Genomic DNA, 26,028 nt, shown 5'->3' on the forward strand with positions numbered 1-26,028 from the left:
AAACAAAACAACCTTATTGCTGACATACAGAAAGCTTTTGTGGTCTGGATTTAAGATCAAACCAGCTATTACATTCCCTTAAACCAAAGCCTAATCCAGAGCAAGGCCCTAACTCTCTTCAATTCTATGAAGACTGAGAGAGGTGAGGAAGCGGCAGAGGTGGCTCATACGATTTAAGGGAGAAAACAATAAAACTGCAAAGGGAAGCAGCAAATGCTGACAGAAAAGCTCAGCAAGAAAAGCCAGAAGATCCAGCTGAGTGAGATAAATGATGAAGGTGGTTACACTAAACAACAGATTTTCAATAGAGACAAAACAGCCTTAAATTGGAAGAAGATTCCATCTAGAAATTTCATAGCTAGAGAGAGGTCAATATCTGGCTTCAAAGCTTCAAAGGAAAGACTGACTCTCTTGGTAAAGGCTGATGAAGCTGGAACTTGAGGTTGAAGCCAATGCTCATATACCATTCCAAAAATCCTAAACCCTTAAAAATGACGATAAATCTACTCTGCCTTTGCTACATAAATGGAACAACAAAGCCTGGAGGAAAGCACATCTGTTTACACCATGATTTGCTGAATATTTTAAGCCCGCTGTTGGGACCTACTGGACAAAAACAAAAATTCCTTTCAAAATATTACAGGCCATGTACCTGTACACTAAGAGCTCTGCTGCAGTTGTACAAGGAGATTAATGTTGTTTTTATGCCTGCTAACACAACATCCATTCTGCAGCTCATGGATCAAAGAGTAATTTTGACTTCATATCTTATTGGAAAAACACATTTTCTAAGGCTTTAGCTGTCATCAAAAGTGATTCCTCTGATTGGATCTGGGCAGAGTCAACTGAAAAGCTTCTGAAAAGGATTCACCATTCTAGATGTCATTAAGAACATTCATGATTCATGAGGGGAGGTCAAATATCAACATTTGCAACTTCATGGATGACTTTGAGGAATTCAAGACTTCAGTGGAAGAAGCAACTGCAGATGTGGTAGAAAAAGCAAAAGAACTAGAAGTGAGCCTAAAGATGTGGGTAAATTTCTGTAACCTCATAATAAAACATAAATGAATGAGGAGTTGTTGCGGGTTTTTTTTTTTTTTTCAACTCCTGAGCTCAAGTGATCCTCCCACATCGGCCTCCCAAAGTGCAGGGATTACAGGCATGAGCCACTACACCGAGCCTGAGGAGTTGCTTCTTACACATGTGTAAAGAAAGCAGTTTCTTGAGATGGAATCTACTCTGGTGAAGAGACTGTGAACACTGTTGAAAAAACAACAAAGGATTTAGAATATTCTGTAAATATAAACTTAGTAGATAAAGCAGTAGGAGGTTTGAGAGGATTGACTCTTTTTGAAAGAAGTTCTCCTGTGGGTAAAATGCTATCATCAAACAGCAACACATGCTACAGAGAAATATTCCATGAAAGGATGTCAGTCAACGTGGCGAATTTCATTGTTGTCTTATTTTAAGAAATCATTACAGAGACCCCAACCTTCAGCAACCTCCCCCTGATTCTTCGGCAGCCATCAACATGGAGGCAAGGCCTCTACCAGAAGAAAGATTATAGTTCTCTGAAGGTTCAGAGGATCATTAGTATTTTTTTAGCTATAAGGTATTTTTAAGTTAAGGTATGCACATTATTTTTAGACATAATGCTATGGCACACTTAACAGACTACAGTATAGTGTAAACGTAACTTTTATATGGACTGAAAAACCAAAAAATGTGCTTGCTTTACTGAGGTATTCATTTCACTGCAGTGTCTGGAATTGAACCTGCAATATCTCTGAGGTATGCTTGTGTTTTGGTTCGTTAAGGCCTGGTTCCCCATGAGAGTATAAACTCCTTATGGGCAAGAATTATGTCTTTTTCATCTTTACATCTTAGCACCTAGCAGAGGCAGCATTCCTAGTAGAACATGCTGTAAACAGCAAGTAAACCTTTTGGAGCCTTGGTCTGCAAAATAAGGAGTGGGCTGTCATAATTCTATGGAAATAGGAGAATTAAAATGATATGACAATGTTATTTAAAATGATGGTTTCAGATCCAATATATCTTTTTCCCTGGAATATAAATTAATAAAAAGGCACAAAATTAAAGAATAAAAAAGTATTTTATCCTACAGAGAGTTCTGTGGGTTTAGAAAACATGCGTGACTAATATTATGGTAGAAAACCCACAAGATTTAAGCCAGCTATCTATCATCTATCATCTGGTTTTAAACTCCTGACCTCAAGTGATCCACCCGCCTCGGCCCCCCAAAGTGCTGGAATTACCAGTGTGAGCCACCATGCCTGGCAAAGTATTTTAAAAATATACATATTTTTAGAGTATTTTAAAGTTTTTGTAAGATGATCTTTATTTTACCACTTGTTTATGAAGAACTGATCATACTAATTTGGTTTCTTTTAGTTGCTGTTTCCCATGTCAAGGTTAGTAAGATCTGGTATGGATTTAGGTTATATCAAGAATGAGTATATGCTTCAAAATACCAGTTCCATCAAGCTTTTCATCATTTTTCCTTTTCAAATTACCTCCCCTAGATAAAGATGAAAACCCAGTTAACATTAAAATACTACTTTGTTACATTTTCTTTTGATGGAGATATTAAGAAATGAAGTATCACATCAAAAGATTTAGTCTCTAAAACCAGACATTCATTCTAAAAAATAAGTTACAATGAAATAGGCAAAGTAAGCCTTTATGCAAGAAAGGCTTTTTATTTATTTATTTTTTTACAGTATCAACCACAATTAAACTATTTCTCTGTGCCCATTTTAAAAATCAATCATTGAAGCAGATAATAATTATATGCCAAAGAATTTGAGCCCTTTAAATGTGTGATAAAGATTAAATCAAATTGGTCAAAGCTATTCTTGGAATGATCTTTTTAATTTGAATCTGTATTTGTTGAAGAGCTTCAAGTATGAATGTTCAATGAATATGGCTAAATAAAAACAGTATCTTAACTAAAGTGATTAATTATGAAAAAAGTAGTGAAATTCCCTTTTAAATAACTGAAACCTGAAAAACTAAAAACCAATTCAACAACAACAACCATTACCCAAATAAGTCTTGAATACTGATGCAAGACGACTCACGTGTCATTGCCACGGCTTTCAACTTTTTACCATATTAGCATGTTACCATTAGTAGAAACATAAAATCAAGACAAATCACTCCTTTGACCTCTTTCAAAGAGTTTCAGATCCACTCTCGCCTTATGGCATAATATTAAACTTTAATAACATTTCTCAGGTCTGAGAAGGCTAAAAAGTCATGTGGGTCCAGAAAAGATCTCACTTTGCTGTGAATGGGTAAGATTTAGAAACCTAGTGTTCTAAAATGCATAGTTAAGACACTCTTTTATTTAGGCAATTGTTTAGGTATTTGTTTTAAATATATGACACATCAAATCAAATTTCCTTGTCTATAATTAGAAAACGGAGATTTTTGGCATATATTTTATTCATTTGAACTAACGACTTAAACTAAACTTACAAACATCTTATCCTTCATAATACCAGATTACACAAATTTAAAGAACTTGTATCCAATTGGAAGGGCAGCTAATTTTTATGAGGTGAAATCTATTTTCCTCTAATAATTTTGCCACTGGCTACTGTTTTCATAATAGCATGGCATGTAAAGTAATTCTCCAAACATGACAGAATCATAATTTAAAGGTTGGGAGGCAGTTGAAAAGTCATCTGCCTAATCAATCATCCTGTCTGATGCTTAATCCCCTTTATAACCCATTTGCTATCTCTGGATATCTAGCTTATTTCTAAAAACCTCTAGTGACCATGAACTATCTTCCAAGGTGGTCTTTTGGAGACGGATGGCTCTGGGTTCAATTTATTCCGGCTCTACCATTTACCAACTCTTTGATCATAGGAAAGTTGGCTACTCTTGAAAGTTTATCATTATTAAACGTGCAAAAGCACTAATACCTGTTTCATAGAGCCCCTGGGCTGAACAAATGTGGTAATGCTCACATAGCCTAGCCACAGAGTCGCTGCTCAGTAAGAGTTCCTTGCGTAACTCCAACAGTATGAAATTCTGCCTTGCACTGAGCTATAATCTGTTGAGTTTTAGTCTGACTATTGGTCTTTTTGGGGACACAAAAAACAAGGCTAATCCATCAGTTACCTTTCAAACATTAGAAACCTGCTGCCAGGTTCCACTGACCAGGTCTGTCACCTTGTTAAGGCCAAGATAAGATAGTGAAAACCCATTGTTGACAGGGGCTTAGCAAAGGGCAATCAAAGGAAGACAAATGTTCCTGGGGCCAGTCTGTGGTGGGTGCTGCAGAGATGCAATTCTTTACAAATTCTTGACTGGCCAAAACAGTGTATAAAACCTCCTGGGAGCTCTTGTCACTGACCGTTGATTCCTACAAAGTGTATTTTACATTTTAAAAGCCCTGCTTTATCACAGGTGCTTTAAGCCATACTCACCCTTCCTCGAATGAAATACTAGGATAGAGTTGTCTTTGATTCTCCTCACGGGGTTGGTTAATACATTATTTATCCTCATTCCCATGTTACCAGGGCACTAAAGCTCAGAACAACTGAGTGGTTGGTTAATTATCCAGTAAATGCCTGATCCAAAACCACGTCAAGGTCTTCTGGAACACAGTCTTTCCTATCATATTCAATTGCCACAGACTGTAACAAATGTGGATTTGAAAACTTTTCGTAAAGCAAAATTTATGCAGCACTCTGAGAATTCTGGATTACTTTTCCCACTCTAAAATCTTGTCTCTGCCAGTGTCAGTCTCTTGCTTTTATTAGGAAGGCCACAAAGCATTGTGGTGAAAAGAACAGTCTCTGGATTCCTGACTCTGCTATTCAGTAGTGGGTCACTTTGGTGGATTTACTTAACTGTTCCGAGGCTCAGTTTTTTCAGCTGTAAAAGGAATAATAATAGTATTTACCTTATAAAACTGTTGTATTAAATAAAAGGTACATGTAAAACAGTATAATATCTCACATTTTCTAAGCACTCAATGAATGTTAATTGTTTTACTATTCACAGACAAAGCTTCAGCCCAGAGAACTTTCTCAAACAAAATTTTTTTTGACTTACTAGTCACCCTATATAAAGCTCCTTGAGGCTTAGGATTGTCTTTTGTCTTTAGATAGATAGATAGATAGATAGATAGATAGATAGACAGACAGATAGATAGATAATATAGATAGATAGTATATATATATGTGTGTGTGTGTGTGTGTATATATATATATATATCCTGAAAAACTAAAGAAAAAGCATTTGGATCTGTAAAATAATTTAATAATCTAGGTAATTAATTCTTTCACTCATAATTTTGTGTGACAGGTTTACTTAAAGCAAAAAGTAATTTCATATACAAAAGATGCATATAATTTCTTCCTTACCTAAACCTTTTTCTTAAGAACCTATACCCAAACCACAGACCTCAGGAGAATGGAACAACACTGGGAACCTAACTAATGGACCAATCATTTCCTCTCTTGACATCTGGAATTCAGAGGGAGACAGAAAGCTTCATTTTGGAGTGGACTTCATGAGGCCACATTTCAGATTAGTGCCTAGAGGAGTCAGTATTCTGAGAGAAAAGATTGAAGTAAGCACACAGAGAGAAGCAGAGATGAGGGAGGCAAAACGAGGAGAGGAGAGGAGAGGAGAGGGAAGGGACAGCAGGGAGGTGCTGAATGAATGGCTTTCCAGCTTCAGGAGGGGCAAAGTACTCCGATCACCAGGTTCCTGAAGAGTTCGCTGCATGCCTCTAACAAGTCCTCCTGTACCTGAGCTTTGTTGAGGGGCTTCTGTTCCCTGTAATCACACCACCCCTAAGATACTGCAGTAACATTATGTAAGACAAACTGCACATTTTAATCCATGGTCCTGAAGAACTCTGCAAACGCTCTTTTTTCTCACTTTTCCTATGGTGCCTTTACCTCACGTATGGTCAAAGAGCAACATGTGGCTCTGAATTTCAAATGGGGAAAGCTAACAGCACAAAGAGGTAAATAAGATGTCCAAGGTCATACTTACAGTTTGTAGGGGCGGAACCAACAACAGAATTTCATATTTCTTATTCCGAGGGGCCTGCACTAACCAATAAACCAACTGCCTCCCTTGATGAAACTAAAGTATGCCAATTATCCAAACTGTGTAGGAAACGTTGACCAAAACAGGGGTTAATTGGACATTGGTTGTTTTAATTCCATAATCAGCTCCTTCCCTGAGCTACCCTGGGAGTGAATAACATATCTTTCACAGGAATGGGAAGGAAGCCAGCATAGGCCATCTGGCTGAACATGTCCTTTCCTCAAGTTATCCCTGCAGCTGTGTGAAACTTAACTGATGTTGAAGAACTTTACAGTTTAATTTGCTTTATCATGTTCCCTCTATTCCATTAAAATTAAAAGTAGACAAATCTTTATGTTCATATTAGCCAAGCAGTTTCCCTGACTCCAAAGTCATGGAATATACATGAACATATATAGTCTATGTGTGTGTGGAGGTGAGGAGGAGGGGAGCCTGAAATTTTTGGATATCAAGAAACACGTTTCATATTCAAAAAGAACAATTCATTTAGACTAGGGCCACTAGAAAATAAACAAAAACTTGTCATTTTCACATGAAAATGAAACTAAAATACTGGTCTTATTAATCATGAAAAAAAAAGAAACATGAAAGAGAATAGGTAGCTTATTTCCTTGCCCATTTTCCCCACTTCTCCTACTTTGTAAATTTGTAAATATGACAATAAATCTAGACTATTAAGTGGAAGAGTATTTCCTAATGAATACTCTAGAATCAGATGTGCATCCGTCAAGTGGGTTCAGTCACGATTCTAGCGCCACTAGCCTAAGAGCTGCTCCAGAAGGTGAGCATGTACTCTTTCCCTCTCAACAATTCTCTCTTCCTGCCTCCCTCCACCCCTCCTCTTACATGGTTTATTTTCTTCTTTTCTCCATCTTTTATTTCTCAAGTTTGAATGTATTTCTACCTGTCTTACTCATGAACATTGCTGGCATTCAGATACTGATATAATGCCACCATATTCCTTATGCTGGGAACTGTGTACTAGGGAGGGCCGGGGTGGGTTACTTTTAAGCAATGCAAATACTAATGCCCAAGTTTGGGTCAGACTAGGGCTGTCCAAGCCCTAGATGATGAGCCTTGAGCAAGGTTGAAGAGACTTGAGTAAGGATGAGAATTAATGAGGCAGTGTAGAGGGAATGTCTTTTCCCAATACAAAATTTAGGTACTATGACTATTAACTAGAAGAAGGTAAGAGCCAGAGGGCAACAGTAAGAAACAGCCAAGAGGTAATGAAATCTTAAAAGAGATGCTGGTGTTCAAGCTATATGTGTGAACAGACATGGAAAATGAATTCCTAAAGTGAAACTCTAATGCAAAGACTGGGTGGATGGTTATGTTGAAGTTGGCCAGCAAACAAAGACCAGATGGTTCTCCCTCAGAGGGCTAGATGGCAAAATATTAGATAAAGGGACCCTGATACAGCTAACTTCTATCATTTCTAGCATCATATGCCTGTATTTATAATAATAAATGGACATAGCATCTAATAATAAGTAGCCATCACACTGCCTGCAAAGTTCATTAGTGAAGTTGAGTGGGAAGAAGGGTTACCCTAGGTCAGGTAAGGCCAGTTGTACCTAAGGGCTCTACGTGCTTCTCGTTTCATTTGCTGCTGTCAACTATTAGGTTGCCGCATGTCTCTACTTCTTCTTAAATAAACTCTGATGGCTCCTGGTCCTAGATTACAGCCCTGGCCCAAAATGTCTTGACAACAATTGCCTAAAGGAAGGAGTCAGGAACAACAATTATTCCATGGTGTGATGGCTAAGAAAAAGAGGCAAAAGATTCCACTGCTGTAGTTCTAACTACTTCTCACTTACTTTCTTTGTGCGTATCATGTAACATGCCTCTTCTTATTAACAGGACCTGGGCTCTGTGGGACTGCTCTGAATCTGTCCATGCAAACCAACTTTTGGAACTCTGGGGCTACGAGATAAAGGAGAAGAAAAAATGTTCTAGGTGTTATTTTCTCTTTGTGCCTCACTCTATTCATTTAAAAAAAGAAAGCTCAACAAGATCCTCTTTGAGATTCTACTGCATTTTCCTGGGCTTCAGTTATTTTACCTCCTTATTTTAAAGGCCTTTTTGAGAATGTTGTTAGTTCAGCTAAACATGATGACTCTGCCTTTCTTCCTCTGCTCTATCTTGTAGGACTGATGTTCCTTTCAGGCAGAAGCATGCATTTCCACTCCTGACAGAATAAGATGCCTTATTTCACCTCCCCTATTACCCACAAAAAGGGAGACTTGTAAGTGTCACTCCAGAATTTTTGCCATTGAGTTTTAGAGAATATCATGGCCATAAAAAGGAAATAAAATTATTTGCATAAATAATGTCAAATTTTCAAAAAGTAAATGGAATAAAATACTCTTGTATAGAAAGGAAGAAATAAAAGGAAGCAAGGTCACTGTTCCATTCATTTTCCCCACAATATTATTAACACCCAGGCATATGATAAAGATTTGTCAAAAGACTTCCTAATATTAAATTGGAAGATGACTAAAAATGTTGTCTATTTACATCTGAGATAGCAAGAAACCTCATCCAGAATTAAAAAGCTGCGTTCCTTTCATCTTTTTTTTCCTTTTCCCCTTTCTCTGACCAACATTTTCTCCTCTATTCTAAATATTGTACACAGCCCAAAGGAAGTCAGTCTTGTTTTGTTTTGTATGCTTTCAGACAGGTCTCACTCTGTTGCCCAGGCCTGAGTGTGGTGGTGTGACCATGACTCACTGCAGCCTGAAACTCCTGGGCTCAAGCAATCCTCCCACCTCAGCCTCCGGAATAGACGGGGACTATAGTTGCGTGCCACCATGCTTGGCTAATTTTACATGTTTGTTTGTTTGTTTATAGAGACGGGGTTTCGAAATGTTGCCCAGGTTGGTCTAGAACTCCCGGACTCAAGTGATCCCCCGACCAGGCCTCCCAAAGTGCTGGGATTATCGGTGTGAGCCACCAACCCCTGCAGAGTCTACATCTGAAATAAACCACAGAAGCAAGGATATCACTTAAACAATGTAACTTACCAATTCAGTCTGAGTGAGTTTTGTAGTTTATAACATATTGATGAAAACAGTTAAGTGTCCACATTCCGTTTACATAAGAGAATGCTATTCAAGCTTTTAAAATAAAAAACTTAAACTATTCCCCTCACCCCCCAAAAAGTCTAACTATAAAGATGGGTTTGCTACAAAATAATTAGCAAAACTGATTTACCAAGTAAGATGTCCTCCCGCTCACTGCCCCCCAGAAATACGTATACTGTAGGAATACTCCTAGGAAGTGACACAAGTGAAAGAAAGAATATTCTTTCAATATGCTAAAAACATCTACAGTGCACTAAAAAAAAGTCCCTAAATTTGGCAATACATTTCTTCCAAAAATGTTATTCAATAACATAAACATTATGAAGTAGAACTGGCTGTCCCATATGTTCAGAATAAAAGGGTTAAGTGGAGTCCTGCATAACTAGCAAAGTGGAAGAATAAATGGTAAGATTAAGACATACACATACAAACATTAAAATCTAAATATCAGAACAACTAAATAAAAATTTACCTTGCATCTCTACTTTTAACTATATAATAAAAAATGGTCATTGGATAGCTGATACTTGTCAAATCTCAGCAAACTTATGAGAGAGAAGGGATAAAAATGGTTAAACCTTAAAATACCTGTTCAATAATCAGTTTTTAATTATCAAAAAAATGTTGACATGAAAGGCACTTCTACAATTGCAAAGGGAAACCTTGTATTTTGCATGGCTATGTAGTTATACCTTTGTGTTATCAGTGGTGAGTCTGGAGATAAAAGATGATCACACATAACCAACTAAAATCGAGACCAGTAATGACCAAAAAAAAAAAAAAATCAGGGCTGAGAAGCTTCCTATACTTGACTTCATAAACTATTTTACTGTATTGGTTACTCAGAGGACTAGATACCACTCCAATCCACAAATTGTCAACCTCAACAATTTAAATGTACGAGTCAGATTTTCCACAGTTCACTTCTGAAAGATCTTCATTTATACAAATATCCCTTCTATATTCATATCTAAAAGATACCATGAGCCTTAAAAACAGTAACACTGAGGGTCAACCATTTGCTCTGTAACCCCAGCTTAAATGTGTCTGAGCCTCAGTTTAACATGTATAACAATGTATTTAATGGAGCAGTTATGAAAATTAAAGATGACAACGTCAGCCTGGGCAACACAGCGAGACCCCATCTCTAAAAAAATAAAAATAAAAAAATAGCTGGGTGTGGTGGCACGTGCCTGTTGTCCCAGCTTCTTGGGAGGCTGACACGGAAGGATCGCTTGATCCCAGGAAGTTGAGGCTGCAGTGAGGTGAGATCATGCCACTGTGCTCCAGCCTGGGCAACAGAGAGAGATATGTCTCAAAAAAAAAAATGACAGTGTATATACAACGTCCAATCCAACACAGGAGGTCCTCAAGAAATGTTAATTCACCTTTTTCCTTCTTTGTATTACTTACTACTTTGAAAATGTTTTTATACTCAAGTATCTTGAACAATTTTCGGTATAATACTCATACCAAGTATCTGGTATTTCCAATTCCTGACAGATTCTGACATCTACAGTTGGATCATGTATTTATATATTTTACTATGCCTTGGTACTTTCAATCATATGACACTGCTTAGTCACAATAAGCGTATTGATTCCTCTATCCTATTGTTTATAAAACCATCCATTAAAGGCAAATTGCAAGATTTTTTTGGGGGTGGGGTGGGGGCGCAGACTGAGTCTTGCTCTATCGCCCAGGCTGGAGTGCAGTGGTACGATCTCAGCTCACTGCAACCTCCGCCTCCCGAGTTCAAGTGATTCTCATGCCTCAGACTCTTGAGTAGCTGGGATTACAGGGGTGCACCACCATGCCTGGCTAATTTTTGTATTTTTAGTAGAGACGAGGTTTCGCCATGTTGGCCAGGCTGGTCTCGAACGCCTGACCTCAAGTGATCCGCCTACCTCAGCCTCCCAGAATGCTGGGATTACATGCAAATTGCAAGATTTTTATGCTATACAGAGAGTTTTCTTGAGTGCTATCTAACTTTTTTATTATTTTCATTTGACTAGAGAAAATAAAACTATTAGCTTACTGAAAAGGATCAGCCTTCTGAGTGATATGACATGGATCAACTTTAATTTCACTCAAGAAACAATTTTTTAAAAATAGAAATTTTCATTGGAATTTCAAATGAACTTTGCTTTTTACAGTGAAAAACATTGTTGTCAACTGCAAACGATATACAACAGGCATTTTGTGAAGACATTTCATTTCAAAGATACCTTAAAAAAGTAGACAGCACACTGAAGCTAAGAGAACCAGCCTTAAAGTCAGGTGGCCAGGCTTTGAATCTTAGGTTCAGGCAGTAACTTTTCTGAGATTCTAGGGATAATATTAACTATTTAACAGGGCTGTAAAAAAAATGAAAGCACTTAACATTGTGTCTGCTATCCTCTAAGTACTCAACAAGTTCAAGTATTCTAGAGCAAACAAATTTTATTTTTCCCTCTGAAGTAAAAGCAAAAACCTACACTCACCTGCCTTGTATTTTATCAGTACTACAAAATAAATCCAAAACCTTTTGCCATCACTCAGTAGTATAAGTAACAATAAAAACCCAAAGGGTAATAATTATTCCAATTTCATACACATTAAATGATGGTATTGCAAATACAGCTTCTGATCCAAATAAAACAAATGGAAAATGTAACTCACATTCATGCAGACAGACAACCACATACATACTAAATAAAAGGAGTAACTAGATAAGCAGAAATCACAAGACATATGTCAAAGATCTGAGTTTTAGCCTAGAGACTGTCATTTGCTTACCAGTATTAACCTTGGCAGCTTGCATTTAATTAAGTCTCAGTTTCTTCATTTACAAAAGAGGGAGAAGGAGTCCTACTGCAGAGAATAGTTGGGAAGATTACAGGCTGGACTGTATGAGGAGGTTTCTTAAACCTGGGATACAAGGCCTTCTGAGAAATGCACATGTAGGCCTATGGGATCTGAGATTGTCAGTAGCTTCCAATAAATCATCAGTTACTTGAACCACAAAATATTATGAAATGTAGGTTTGTCAAAACGCTTCAGAATCTTTAAAGCTATAAATGATTTTAAAGTCGTGTTAAACTTGCATGAATTACAGTGTTCTGGGAGAGTGAGAGATTTAATTTTGTAAGAATTTTAATATTTCATAAATATGAAAGAAAGAGAATTCTTATATATGTAAAACTATAGCCTAGGAAATTCTGTCAAATAAGACTGAGAAACTCACTGGTGATTAGAGAGACTATTTTTAATGTAAATTTGTCTGACAACTGTTGTGATAACTGGTTTAGCTGTGTGTGCGTGTGTGTGTGTGTGTGTGTGTATTACTGTACTCACTTCCTAACTGGCCCTCCTCCAACACATTTTCCACACTACAGCCAATGCTCTTTGTAAAAGGTAAATCTCTTGGCTAAAAACTCATAATAGTTTCTATTTCACTTAAGAATAAAGTCTGAATTCCTTTCTATGGTTTGGAAGGCTCTGCATCAACTGGCTCCAGTGCATCTGACCAACCTTATCTCGCATCATTTAGTCCTTTGCTCATTCATTACGCTCCAGCCAGGCGATGTCCAACAGAAATGTAATGGGAGCCACCAATACAACTTTAAATTTTGTAGTAGCCACACTTTTTCAAAGTTGAAAAAAAGTAAAATTAATTTGAGTATATTTTATTTAACAAAACATACCATGGTATCAATATGAAATCACTATAAAATTCTTAAGATACTTCACATTCTTTTTGTAGTACTAAGTCCTTCCTCCAAGTTGGTGTGTATTTTACACCTACAGACTACCTCCATTCCGGAAAGCTGCATGTGGCTTGTGGCTCGTAGCTTCTTCATTGGACAGTACAGCTCTCCAGCTACACAGACTTCTCTGGATCCCAGAACACCAACAGTGCTCTCCGGTCTTTGGGCGTCTGTGTGAGTGGTTCTCTCTTTTGAGAAAGTTCTTTCTGGCTTTCTTATGGCTGCCTCCTTTGCCTCCTTCCCCAAACTCAGCTTAAATATCACCCGCTAAGATACGTCTTTCCCAATGACTTTAGGCAAACAGTCTCCCCATTTTATTCCCTAGCAGAGCACCTCGGAGATCACAGTTGTCTTAGGACTTCTCTCATTCTGTCATTTTTTGTGCTTGCTTTCCTTGCTTTTCAAATATTTGTTTATGTCCTGTTTTCCACCACTAGACTATAACTATTGCTCCATGAGAACAAGGACCACTTTTATTCTGTTCACCATGGGCACATCTGAGATACCGAATTTTTGCTAAATATAATAAATGCACGTCATTACTCTTAGTTGCTCCCTGGCCACTTCTAACATAATATTCAGAAACAACTGGGAGCATAATATACGCACAAGAAAACAATAAATAAATATATATAATTATTTAAATTATAAACCAAATAAAGATGCTTACATGATATAATTTTTGAAAAATCCTTATTTTCAAGACACTTGTATAAAGATAAATAAATCACTTTATTAAAAATTATAAGTACTATCCAGTTAAAAAATAAAACTTCACTTAAACTCAAATCAAATCATAAGGCATTTCGGATATTTCTCCCTTTCCTGCCTTCCTGAGAAAAGCACTGTGTTAACTGCTCTTCATTCGGCATTCAGACTTTTAAAGTCAGATCACCCCAGTCTCCTACAGATCTACAAAAAATCTCTAAATGCCAATAAATTTTTACAATTAAAGGGAGAAAAAAGGAAACTATGAGTGATATTTGAAGAAAGATAAAGGTTTAGTTAAGATTTAAACAAACTAAATTTTACCTTTTCTGCTCTTAACTCTCATTTTCCAAATCATTTATTGTAATTCTAAACTGAGATTCACAGCTCCTTCAGACATATTATACTTTTAAGTGGAAAGGTGATCACTGACAAGTATGCAGTTTTTGATACATATTTTAATAAATTCGGTACAAATAAAAATCACATAACTGATCATGACAAAGAATATATACTTTGGGAGAGGAAAAAATATGACTAAAGTGACAGACCATTATCTAGGTTAAAAACTGAGAATAAATTAATAGGTAAAAAATAGACATAAATGGTTGGATACAGCTCCCATATTATGGTTACCTAGTCAAGTCGTCTGTTATTAACAGCAGGATAAAAAAATACGTCAGTAGAAGACATGGTAATCTTACACGTAGACACACAAACCCACAAAAATAATCATTATATATATCATTTATATTATCCTTGAATATATATGAAAAAATATATTTTTATATTTATATATATACACATAAATATATTTATATATACAATTTATATATAATTTGTATATACTCCAGGTATTATACATTTGTCTTCTCATTTAATCCTCATAACCTAAAGAGGAAGACACTAAAATAATCCCCATTTTGCAGATGGGGAAACTGTGGTGTAAAGAGGTGAAATAATTTGCTTGCACACTTTGCCCAACTGTTGAACTAAAGAACCAGGCCTGGAGATTTATTTTCCAGTAATTGGAAGGAAAGGGTTAGAAACACTTTACCACCATCCCTATGACTTGTAAGCTTATAAACTTAATTTTGAGCATGAGACAGCCACGTCTCCAAACCACACTGCTACTGTCTAGCAGCTTCTCCAGTATCTCTGTGTTTGGTCAATTTGGCTTTCTGATCATTTCTCTAGTTCCTTGTTCATTTCTCTACTGGAAATAAAACCAAGTCATGAGTAGCCCATGTGGTTGAAGGCCTGACCCACCTACAGCTAAGTCTGTCAGCACCCTGAACTAGGCATGTGAATTTTGGATGGACCTTCTCAGTCTTTAACCTGAATATTTATCTGACATGTACCGCTGGGACCTATCTGCAAACCACAGCTCCAATCCCAGGAGTCTAATCTCTCCATGAACAATCTGAATTAGAATATTTCTTGAATTTCTTGAAAAGTCAGCATTTAATTATCACTGAAGGAGGCAAGCATTGCCCCTTGGTGGTCCCCACATGGCAAGAGACTCAATTGGCTGCCTTCCTCTGCAAAGCCATGACTATATTATTAAAGAAAACACTGCCACAGATACCAAATGTCAACAGACTATATAACGTGTTTGTGATGTGCTACAGTTGACCCTTGAACAACGCTGGCTTGCACCGTGTGGGTCCACTTATAAGCAAATTTTCTTCCATTTCTGCCAATCCTGAGACAGCAACACCAACTCCTTAGCCTACTTAATGTGAAGATGATGAGGATAAAACCTTTATTATGATCTACTTCCACTTAGCAAAGAGTGAATATATTTTCTCTTCCTTATAGTTTTCTTCAGACATCTTTCCTCTAGCTAACTTTATCATAAGAATACAGTATATAATACCTATAACATATAAAATACATGTCAATCAACTGTTTTAATGTTATTGGTGAGGCTTCTGGTCAACAGTAGGCTATCAGTAGTTAAGTTTTGAGGGAGTCAAAAGTTATATGCAAATGTTTTAACTGCACAGTGGCTGGGACTCCTAATCCCCACATTGTCCAAGGGTCAACTGTATTCACAAGTTTATTCCAGTGTGAACTCTCGTAGAAAGAGAGAGAGAGAGGCAGGCTCGTGCTCTGTTGTCCAGGCTGGAGTGCAGTAATTCAATCACAGCTCCCCATAACCTTGAACTCTTGGGCTCAAGCAATCCTCTCGCCTCAACCTCCCAAGTAGCTAGTTAATTTTTTAATTTTTAGTAGCGATAGGGTCTTACTATGGTGCCCAGACTGATCTTGAACTCCTGGGCTCAAGCAATCCTCCTACCTCGGCCTCCCAAACTGCTGGGCTTACAGGGGTGAACCACTATGCCTGGCCACTGTAATTTTATGTAAAGTTTTCTTCTCAAATTTTAATACCTTTCTTCATAATACTAAATATGTTGTCACCCATTCTTGGCATGGAAGTCTACTGAGTCCACATCCATAGGGAGCAATTGAAAATTCTGTGTGTATGAGTTTGCTTTGATTTATGTTCTATTTGGTTATAAACTTTACTGCAGCTACAGGAATAAAATTTGGCTAATATAAACGTAACAATTATTATTTCAGAAGCATAAAATTGAACAAAGAGTTGATACCAGGTTAAAAAAAAAATCACTTTTTTAAAAGCTAGATGATTTGTGTTTTAGCCCTGGCTCAGGTCCTAAGCAGTTTTATAACAGTGGCTAAGTAGGAACTTGCCTAAAGCCCAGTGTTCTCATCAGTTAAACGAACTCTTTATAATAATTCCTAAGGTTCCTACTGCTCAAGAACTCCAGTCCAAGCCTAGCTAACACTGGATACCAAGTAACACTGCATGCTCATTTACTGAACTTAGGGAAGTATCACCCACATAAAGTTGTTCTCATGAATGTCTTCCATTTCATGGCTTAAATTAATAGCCATAATAACATGTCAAATGTTTGTTTTCTCTATAGTTTAATGTACCTAGATATATCTGACTAAAATTAACTGGTGATTTTCTTGGATGTTTAAAATAATTTGTTGATATTGGTTAATAAGCATAATGTACCTAAACTGACAAGATGAAACTCTAAGAATTAGATTTCACAGCTTAACAAAATTCAACAACACAGTAGATCTGCATATGAGGGGAAAGAATAGAGGCAATTTGAAGGGAAGAAGAACTCAAAGCACACATTTGGAAGAAGTACACTTTAAGACTCAGTCATTTGAACTACTCTGACTGGAAAACAATTCCATAAACACCATTCAGAGAGATTCCTGTTTCTTCAATACCTAGAGTACTTTCAAAAGAGCAACTCATGTAAAAACTCACTACCATGAACACTGCACAGATTGAAACCACAAATAGCCAAGAGAGAAGAAAGGAATGTATCGGGGTGGGTGAGAGGGGAAGGTGGTTGAGGATTCCTTATTCATGTGTTCAACAAATGTTTATTAAGCAGTTATTATATGCCAGGTACAGTGTTAAGCACTGTGGATACTTTGGTAAACAAAATATAGTCCTTTCCTGTTAAAACAATCTTCCACTCCATCAAAAAATAAATAAATAAGAAAAAAAAAGGAAAATATCAATTTTCTCTACTTGGTAACCTATTTTAACTTCCCCATCTTACTTGGCTAATTATTAACCATGTGCATGCCATGTATTTCTTTTGAGAAAGTGAAAGATTCTAAAATCTTCAAAATTTGTAAAGTAATTACAAAATCAAAAACTGTAAGTAAAAAGAGTTTAAAGAACATGTTTAATTCTGAAAAATAAAATATTCTGATTTTTAGTTCCATAGTTTACTTTTCCTCTACAATTTCTGATATGTTTTTTCAATAGAGAAAAACCCACAAAACTAGGTGTACAAAAATACAGTACAAATAATTTTGATGCCTATATCCAATTGAAACAAAATTTAATAGTCTGAATTTTGTAAGGGAGTTCCAAAGTTCTTTGAAAACATCCCCTTTATAGACAATATGACCTCAAATAGTTCATTTTAATCAATGTTTTTATGTCACAGAGTGATATATTTATTATTAACAGGTGCTTAAAAATGCTTCTTCACTTGGTCATTTTCTATAAAAGTATCTGCAAGCCAGTCTAGACCAATGTCTATAGCTTGTGATTATACAGATCTCCGGAATGTCTTCAGGATGTATAATTACTACATACAGAACACTTATTCACACATTTAAATGGAAGTGAAATGTAATCTAAAAAATGTAAAGCTATATACTAGTTTCAAGAATACAAAAGTAAACAATAGGAAACAACTTTCATTTCATCAGTGTATTAGTATGAGGTATTTTGCTTCCTCTCTCTCCTAAATCAAGTGTTCTGATTGTAATCGAAGGATCAGGATGGGGACAGAAGAGGGAAAAGGGCACCTGCAGTTCACATGTGGCAAGAGGCTTGGACAAGAGGAATTTCTTTTCTCCCCTTGCAGTACAGATTTATACACAACCGAAAAAGTGCAGCTATGACCACATTTTAAGAATGCCTAAAAATGCCCAGGAGTCTAATCCCTATCACAGATATTTTAATCACTTTATAAAATCTTAAAGCATTTATTCCTTTCATATTAAGTAACCTCAAATAACCCAAATTGTACACTACAAGTCTCTATTTGAGTAACAATCACAGAATTAAAAAAAATTATAAGAAATATGCAATTTCCTTTTCTACAACCGAATAAAACAGTATAATGTTTATGCAAATCAAGCTAGCAGAAGAATAAAGTAAACAACACATTTCTTAATTTCTTAATATAGTTCAAGGTGGTGTAGTGGCCACCTCTTTTCTTTTTTTCATGAAAATCTCTTTCCTTTGCACCATGTTATATAGGATCTTTAAGAATATAATGTACTGAAGATAATTTAAAATAATTTTCTAAACTATGTCCATAACCACCTCCATGACTGCTCCCATCTGATGGTTAAAATCTTACAGTACTAGCTTGAATTTCATCTCTGCCTCACATGTTTCAAGCAGGGAAGCAGATTTAGTGCCTCAGAACACTTTACAGGGTTTCATTATCAATCAGGTTATGTTCCCGGTGACGCTTTCAGTAAAATTATCTTATTCAAATGAACTCTCTTGGACTGAAGTAAACAAAGCTGTAGCCCATTGCTCTCACATACTCTCCATTCATTTATTTCCTTTTTCTTTACTTAGACTTACAGCACGTGCCCTAGAAAGAGCGCATGTTGAATATTCCTGGAGTGTCACAATATGCAATACAATAAAACAGATTACGGCCCTACCTTTCTCTCACAGCAGTGGTGCCAAGCACAGGTACACCGGAGTAATCAATTTGTTCTGCAGACCGTAAGGCTTTCATAGAATACTAATGTAAAATCTCTTTTCTTTCTCCTTTGCCTTGACTCCCTAATGCCCAGGTCCCGACCAATACAAGGAGGAGGGCGGTATGTCTTCTGCTGAGATAACCACAACTACTAATCAAGTATACGTGTACAAGGGCACAGGATTAAACCTCCACCAAGCTTGAGTCAGGGTTTGAGAGCAGCTAAACACATGCACAGCATGGTCAAAATTAAACACACACACACACACGCACCCACGCACACACACGTGCCATGAAAATACAGATGTGTCTACTTCGGTGAACTAATTCATCACACTTTACCATGCCTCGTTTTTTTAATCTCAGGGGCATAAAATTACCTCCTGTTGAACTGAGGACTTAGATTCAACAGTGCCCAACAATTGTTTTTCCAGAAACGAGAATCATGATCAGTCTTCTTTGTACTCAACTGTTAACCATTTTTAAAACTAGGCATTTTTCTTAATTGTACTATCCAGCGCAGTTTTACATGAATTTATCATTTCAGGTATTAACATAGGGTTAATAGACTCTGCATGGATTCTTCAGATTTTACACTTAAAAATATATTGTAATAGCTCAAGTCTACTTTACCAAGAAAAGTATGTGCATTACCAGTAATAAGACATACAAAAGATTTTCATGTATCTTGAAGTATTTACATTATGAATAATCCCAAGCTATTTGAAAAATATTTTCAGGTCTCAACAATTATTTAAAAAGCACCTTTAACACTTCATAATTATGGCATCACGGTGGTATGGTTAATCTTATAAATCTAGAGTTCTGGTGTTCTTTTCAATTAGACATTTTCACTTGGCTTATTTTTCTTTTATTCAAAATATGAAAAGGTATGCCAGTCATTGAGTAGGCGAATGACAGAAGTTGTTAAATATTTTTTAACAACATACATTGCCACATTTTAATTTGCCTGCCTTAATTTTCAAATAACTCTTGAAAAGTATTGATAGTTAAGGGGCTGCAAACTAGGCAAAAATTAAGAACAAAATACTCAAAATAACTGAAGAAACTTATTAGGAGGCATCCTAAGCCGTTCTGTTTTCATGTAAACAACTGCTTTAACACTGCTAAAATACATGTGTCTCATTTTGCACTTTTTCTATTTCTTAAAAAAAATCAGTAGGAACAATTAAGAAATACTAGGGACTCAATGAAGTATTGCAATAATGTTTAATCGATACTGATGCATTTGTCCTTGACACACTGACCATGTCATCAGGCTACTGTCATCTTATATCATGTCATTTCTCCACCTGGCTCATGACCTTGTCCTCTAAATGACCTAAAGCTTCCCTCAAGTAGCAGGAGGCCCCTCCCCGCTGTCTCAGCAAGGTCGAACGGGTCAGCGTGTCCTCATCTATAATCCACCACCATTTGTCAGCAGGGAGGCTGGAGGAGGCAGGCTTGCTACAAGGGGAGAATGCCCAATTAGGCAGCTGTCACACAAAGCATAGGCTGCAAAATTATCCCCTGTCAAAAGAAAGAGCAGCTGCGGGTGCCAATTACAGCAACCTTTCAACCCTTTAGGTACTGGAAACTACACAGAAGTAAATGAAGAACAATTAGTGATAACAAATCGATGAATTAGGACAGTAAATTAGAAATTACTAGCAGGTGAGCTTGGGTCATACATGACATTTAGGGCACACCAGACTCCAGGCAAGGGCAGGATGCAATGAATCACACTAACCATTTCCTCACATATAGATTTCCCCTCCAATATTTTCTTTTTGCAAACCTGAGATCTTTAAAATACCCATACCTAAAAATATGTATCTTAATATACACACCTTTTCATTTCATGGACCCCCAAAATTGTTTCTCAATAGGAGAAAAATCCTTCAGAATAATAAGTCTAGTTCATTCTAACTTGTTTTCACACAGTCCAACATGTTATCCCCTCAAACAAATTTCTTAAGTGTCGCCCACAAAATCCAAAATATCAGTTTAAATCATCACACTTAAAATATTGTACTTGTCCTGATTCTACTTCAGTCAAAAAGCAACTGGGTATAAATTCTGAGAAAACTGCTTTGCTAATATCATAATGTTGAAGGTAACTTTCTCTACACAATGTCATTTTGTGGATAAAAAAATAACTGCCATGTGTGCTTCTATACATAATACACATAAAGAAAATATCAACCACAAAATTACTCTCTTAGATTGTTCTGCTCCAATCCTGCAGAGGTGATATACATTAAGTCTCAAGCACAGAAAGCCAATGCACTTGGACTTTGTCCAACTAATTTATTTGGTAGTTAACATTCGCAGGCAGTGAAGGAGGAACATGGGGAAACAAGCCCCACCAAGGGGAGCAGATCCAATATGGCTACCGAGTGTTCATGGACATGGTTTCATTGTGCCTTAAAATGTCATGCATGTTCAGAAACAACTTTCTTAAAGTCCATTTTTAACTAAGATTAATTTTTTTTCCATAGAAAAAAGATGGTCTTCCTACATCAGTTCTTTGAAAGTTGAGAAACCTGAATGATACGTGCTGTTATTTCTAAAGAGGCAGGAGAAAATTGCTTAACTAGACTTCTAAATCACAAATGGATAAAAGTGAGGAAGAGAGAAGGTGAGGCAATAAAGAAGCACTTTACTCACCCACCTCCAACACATTATAAATAAATCACAGTTGCCAGAGGGAAAAGTGTGTAACTCCTAGTTCCTAAGTCCAGCCATGTGATAATGTTTCTAGGAGATAGATGTCATGGGGAGAAAACTTCTCCATGAAAAGTTTATCTGAGAATTTGATTTATAAATTATATTTCATCATTTAAAAACTGGGCATTTATAAATTCTCTTAAGTTTAGAATGCAACCCTCTAAAGTCAGACATAAGGAATTCAAAGCAATGACAAATAGATAGGAATGAAGGAGTTAATGCCTTTAGAATTCAGCTTCCATCATACATGGGTGACTATCTCTTTAAATAATTTAAATCCTCTCCATCAACTACAAAGCTGTTTTGAAGCCATTTAGCTTTGTTCTTTACATGTGTTCTAATTAAGAGATGACCTTGTCATCACACACACCAGAAATCCGGGATTATTTCCTACAGCAAAAATTCACAGAGCCCCCCAAAGAAGAAAAAGGGGGGTAAAAAAGTCTTCTTCCTCAGTTCCTCACTAAAGGAAGTTGTTGGTTGGTTGAACGCTGAGGCAGTTTCACCGCATAATTTTTTTGTTGTTGTTGAATGTCACAGGGCGGGTTAGTGTGACCTTGAGCTGCATCAGCAGCACAGCAAGGGTCGAGATGCCTGCAGGCGCCCTTGTACTGGATTTGCAAGACAAAAACCTTCAAACTGGCTGAAGGACATCTTAAATCTCTTCAAAGGTTTTCCGAACTAATCTGGGCTGCTCTTAGCAGGATCTGTGCCAGTGTGAGAAGCAAAATTAAAAACAAGGTCTTTGACAGGATGTTGTCTCCTCTTAACCCTTCCCAAGCAGAATAGAACAAACCACCAGCATTCTGGAGAGAGGGTTTACCTAGAAGCATTCTTTTATAACAAATTATGTAAGCAGACAATCACAAAGAATGGGGCAGTTATTAGTTCTCAAAAGTAAACAACCCTTCCATTGTGCTTATTAAAGAATTCAGGTCGAATTCTTTCTTGACTATATTTCAGTGTAGTGAATGTAAAACTTAAAGCTCTATTTGTATCTTTCAGATTTGTAGCACAGTCACAGGTTAAGACTAAAAAATATTTCCATCAATATTTATCTCTAGAATTTTCATTTTTAAAAAAAAATACATGGTTTTAGTTGGTTAAGTCACAAACTTCACGCATACTGCATATAGCTTACTAAAATTACAGGTAAGGAAAATTACATTATAGCATGTTTACTAAATTTCTTATTCCCAACATGATGAATACATTCTTAAGACGGAAAAAAAAAATCATTAGAATAGTGAGTAACACAAGTAAAACAAGGTAAAGCAATCTCGGTCTTGTTATAAAAACATCAGCATGACATTTGATGTTTTAGCATTACCAGTGCATGGGCCAAAAGAGAAAGTATTAATGCCAGTAGAGGGTGTTTGATTCTTCCCTGGCAATGCTCTCAAAATTTAATTTAGTAGCTAAAGTAGGCAAATGTTTAAATCATTACTCTAGAACAACAAAAGGAAAAAGGTGAATAAAATAGTCCTGGCTTTCAAGAAATAAATAGTCTGGTGGAACAAACAGCTGTAATGCTTAAATCACAATATATGCTAAAATCAGTGTGTCTCCATCTATAACATGCTGGTTTGTCATCATCAGATATAAGGTATGTCATGATTAGTTCTAAAGAGTATTTAGTGTAAGTATTTAGTGTTAAGTACAGAATTTAATAAGGTCTAAGAGGTTGCAAATTATTCCCTTTTAAAAAAACAGACTAAATAAATTCAAGATAACTTGGGTGATAACCACACTTTCACTCACTTGGATTCAGGTATGTTTTCCTGAACAGGACAGGAAAAGGACAGAGTAATAACACCTAGTGAGTAAATAAGACCCGAGAGTGCACAGTGCCGGTGATTTTCTTCCTTAGTCTCTGTGCCAAAGGAGAGAGAGTATATACTGTGCTAAATGCAATGACTGAAATATGTAAAAAGTGCTCTAGGAACACAGATAGGCTGTAACCAGGTTTTTAGTTCATATGTACACATGCAGGTGGTAGTCAGTGATGGTTAAAAAATGAGTAAGGGCTAGCCAGGCAGAAGAGAATGGCAGCCATTCTAGGGTCCAGAAATAGCACTCAAAGGCAAGGAAGAGCTGAGTGTGACACAGGAAGTGTGGTAGTCCAATGGGAGTGGAGATTAGGCTGGAAATGCAACTGGGACCAAGGACTTTGAATCAAGGCCATGCCAAGAAGCTGGCCTTTATCTGGTGGGTTTCCTTACAAGCAATGGTATTATTAAAAGCATATTAGAAAAACAAAACCAGAAGCTATGGGAGTTGTTGATAGCTTGGAGGGAAGAAGAAACTGTAGATCAGTTAGTGCACTGCCATGGTCAAAATAAGGCAAAGGCAGGAGAGTTGAAGAAAAAGACAGCTCTGGAAACAATGAAGGCTGCTTTGAATATTTAAAAACCAATTTGTTTAACATAAACAGTGCTATAAGATAGGGTGTTATTTCATAGCAACTTTATTGAATCAAAGATAAAAACGATAAAAATAATTACTATATCTCAAGCCTAGGTTTGATAAACACTGTGCTAAAAAAATGATTTCTACAAAGTTTCAAAAAAGTAGTAATTCTTACAGGGGTGCTTTAAAGAGGCAGAATCAGATCCTGTTTGAAGTCTGAATTTTGTACTTTGAACTATCAACCTTCATTAAGTATTAGGTAAGGGTTTTGCTAAGACAGTGACATGTACCTTTTCAGAACAGTGTGAGAGCGTATTTCCCTTGGCTATAAGACAGAGATGTCCGACTTAAATTATAATGTGGTTCTTGGAGCTAAGAGTTCTATCCAACGCTAATGAGAAAAAAAATTAACTCAGCAAACATTTCTTGAGTCCCGACTACGTTTAGGACACAGAATTAAAAAATAAAAACTACCCAACATTCTATCAGCTTCATGTTTTTAGATGATCACTCATAATGATATCAAGTCCTCAAATTCCAGCTTGCATGACATCATCACACAATAAAAACACTACGAGTAAAAACAGTATGAAGCTGTCAGTAAATCAAGTGTCGGAACTAGCAGCCATCTTGGTATTCCGATCCAGCTGAAAGGTACACAACGCATTCCCAGAACCCTCAGGGAAGACCCAGCACCAATGTAATTTGAAGAGCGTCGTCAGATACTCTAGAGACTGACTGTCCCGCTGAGACCTCAGAAAGAATTTAACAGAGTATCAGCCAAGGTAAGAGAGTAGGGAGTAAAACAGAACAGGAGTCACCAGGGCCAAGTAAATATCTGCCAGAGAGCAGACTGTACTCTCAGAAAAGGACCGCCAGCATCAGGGATCAGGTTGAGGCAAGTGGAGGGGAAGGTCACACAAAGGAGAGAAGGAAAGACTTGAGGGGAAGCCTACTCAATCCTGCAAAATAACACATCAACTTCATTTTGTGAAACTTTTTTAAACGACCAAACCTCTAGAGTTGGGCGAATCACCGTAGAAGAAGTATTAGAAGGTACACAAATCATAAAGAGGACTTGAAAGCCGGGGTAGGGGGAAAATTGACAGGGCAAAACTAGGAATGACCTTACTGAGTATCCACAAATAAAATGACTTCTCCTTGAGTAAGCATCTCTGTCTTACAGCTGCCAAGCCAACGCTGGCAGTAAGTTTCAGCACATTCTAGGTCTAGACATTAATAGAAAAGTGGGTAATATGATACACCGTGCAGTTATTAAAAAAAAACTTATTAGTCTACAAACACAAAAGCAAGGTTAACATTATTGGAATAAAAATATAGAAGATTCTGTTCGCAATTAGACAAGTGAATTGCCATAATACAGCAGTCCTCAAAGGGTGGTCCAAGGATGCCAGGGGTGGCCATGACCCATTCAGGAGGCACATGAAGAAAAGACTACTTTCATACTACTAAATGTTATCTGGCTTTTGGTATCATTCCTTCATAAGTGTACAGTAGAGTTGTCTAGAGGCTATATACATGGAATGCATCCTTGTGTAACTCTTGTTTTAAATTTTTTCTCAGTTTAAATTTCTAATATGATAAACATCAGTTGATATGAATCTCATAAATAAAAGCTCTCTTGGGTCCTTGATAATTTAAGAATATAAAGTTGTCTTGAAAGCAAAAAGTTTGAAAGCTGCTGCTATTAATAGTTGAAAAGTACAATGTTGGTTTTCTTCAAACATAATCTCTTCTAATTTCAAGAATTTCCACTATAATTATGGCAGATAAATATTGTTCTCTGTGCAGAATGTCCCTAAGACCAAGACGAGGAAAGAAAAGAAAGAACTTTCTAAAAAGATGAGTAAACTAAGGAGGATATGAAAAATCTCCCATCTCTAGAGTCGTTATTATTCTGAATTTACCATACAAGGAGTAACAAAT

At 36.7% G+C, this 26,028-nt stretch overlaps 1 protein-coding gene across 21 annotated transcripts in view, besides 3 other annotated features; it reads right to left on the bottom strand.

Moving 5' to 3' along the window:
- NRIP1 (nuclear receptor interacting protein 1) overlaps positions 1-26,028 on the bottom strand; it is a 104,702-nt gene that overhangs the window by 22,044 nt on the left and 56,630 nt on the right. For 4 of the 21 annotated variants that reach the window (NM_001439276.1, NM_001439277.1, NM_001439280.1 and 1 more), the window contains one exon: positions 7,923-8,028. The exons of 14 other annotated variants lie outside the window; for them this stretch is intronic. The gene's annotated coding sequence lies outside the window, so the exon portion shown is untranslated. Of the gene's footprint in view, positions 1-4,463; positions 4,915-7,922; positions 8,029-26,028 lie in introns of all 21 variants that reach the window. 3 more of the 21 variants (NM_001439275.1, XM_017028475.2, NM_001439283.1) reach the window with 1 other exon arrangement.
- Positions 1,503-1,672: an enhancer, noted in NCBI's record as "experimental_61707 CRE fragment used in MPRA reporter constructs". NCBI's record gives its function as "activates a minimal promoter by MPRAs in K562 erythroleukemia cells, with activity observed for the non-introgressed 21:16357187 variant allele {active_cell/tissue: K562}" and the evidence as "EXISTENCE:reporter gene assay evidence [ECO:0000049][PMID:34662402]".
- Positions 21,741-22,676: an enhancer, noted in NCBI's record as "OCT4-NANOG hESC enhancer chr21:16377340-16378275 (GRCh37/hg19 assembly coordinates)". NCBI's record gives its function as "activates a minimal SCP1, AML or CMV promoter by ChIP-STARR-seq in naive and primed H9 embryonic stem cells {active_cell/tissue: H9 hESC(naive and primed)}" and the evidence as "EXISTENCE:reporter gene assay evidence [ECO:0000049][PMID:30033119]".
- Positions 24,571-24,740: an enhancer, noted in NCBI's record as "experimental_61740 CRE fragment used in MPRA reporter constructs". NCBI's record gives its function as "activates a minimal promoter by MPRAs in K562 erythroleukemia cells, with activity observed for both the introgressed and non-introgressed 21:16380255 variant alleles {active_cell/tissue: K562}" and the evidence as "EXISTENCE:reporter gene assay evidence [ECO:0000049][PMID:34662402]".

Source organism: Homo sapiens, chromosome 21 (assembly GCF_000001405.40).
Source record: "Homo sapiens chromosome 21, GRCh38.p14 Primary Assembly".
NCBI lineage: Eukaryota > Metazoa > Chordata > Mammalia > Primates > Hominidae > Homo > Homo sapiens.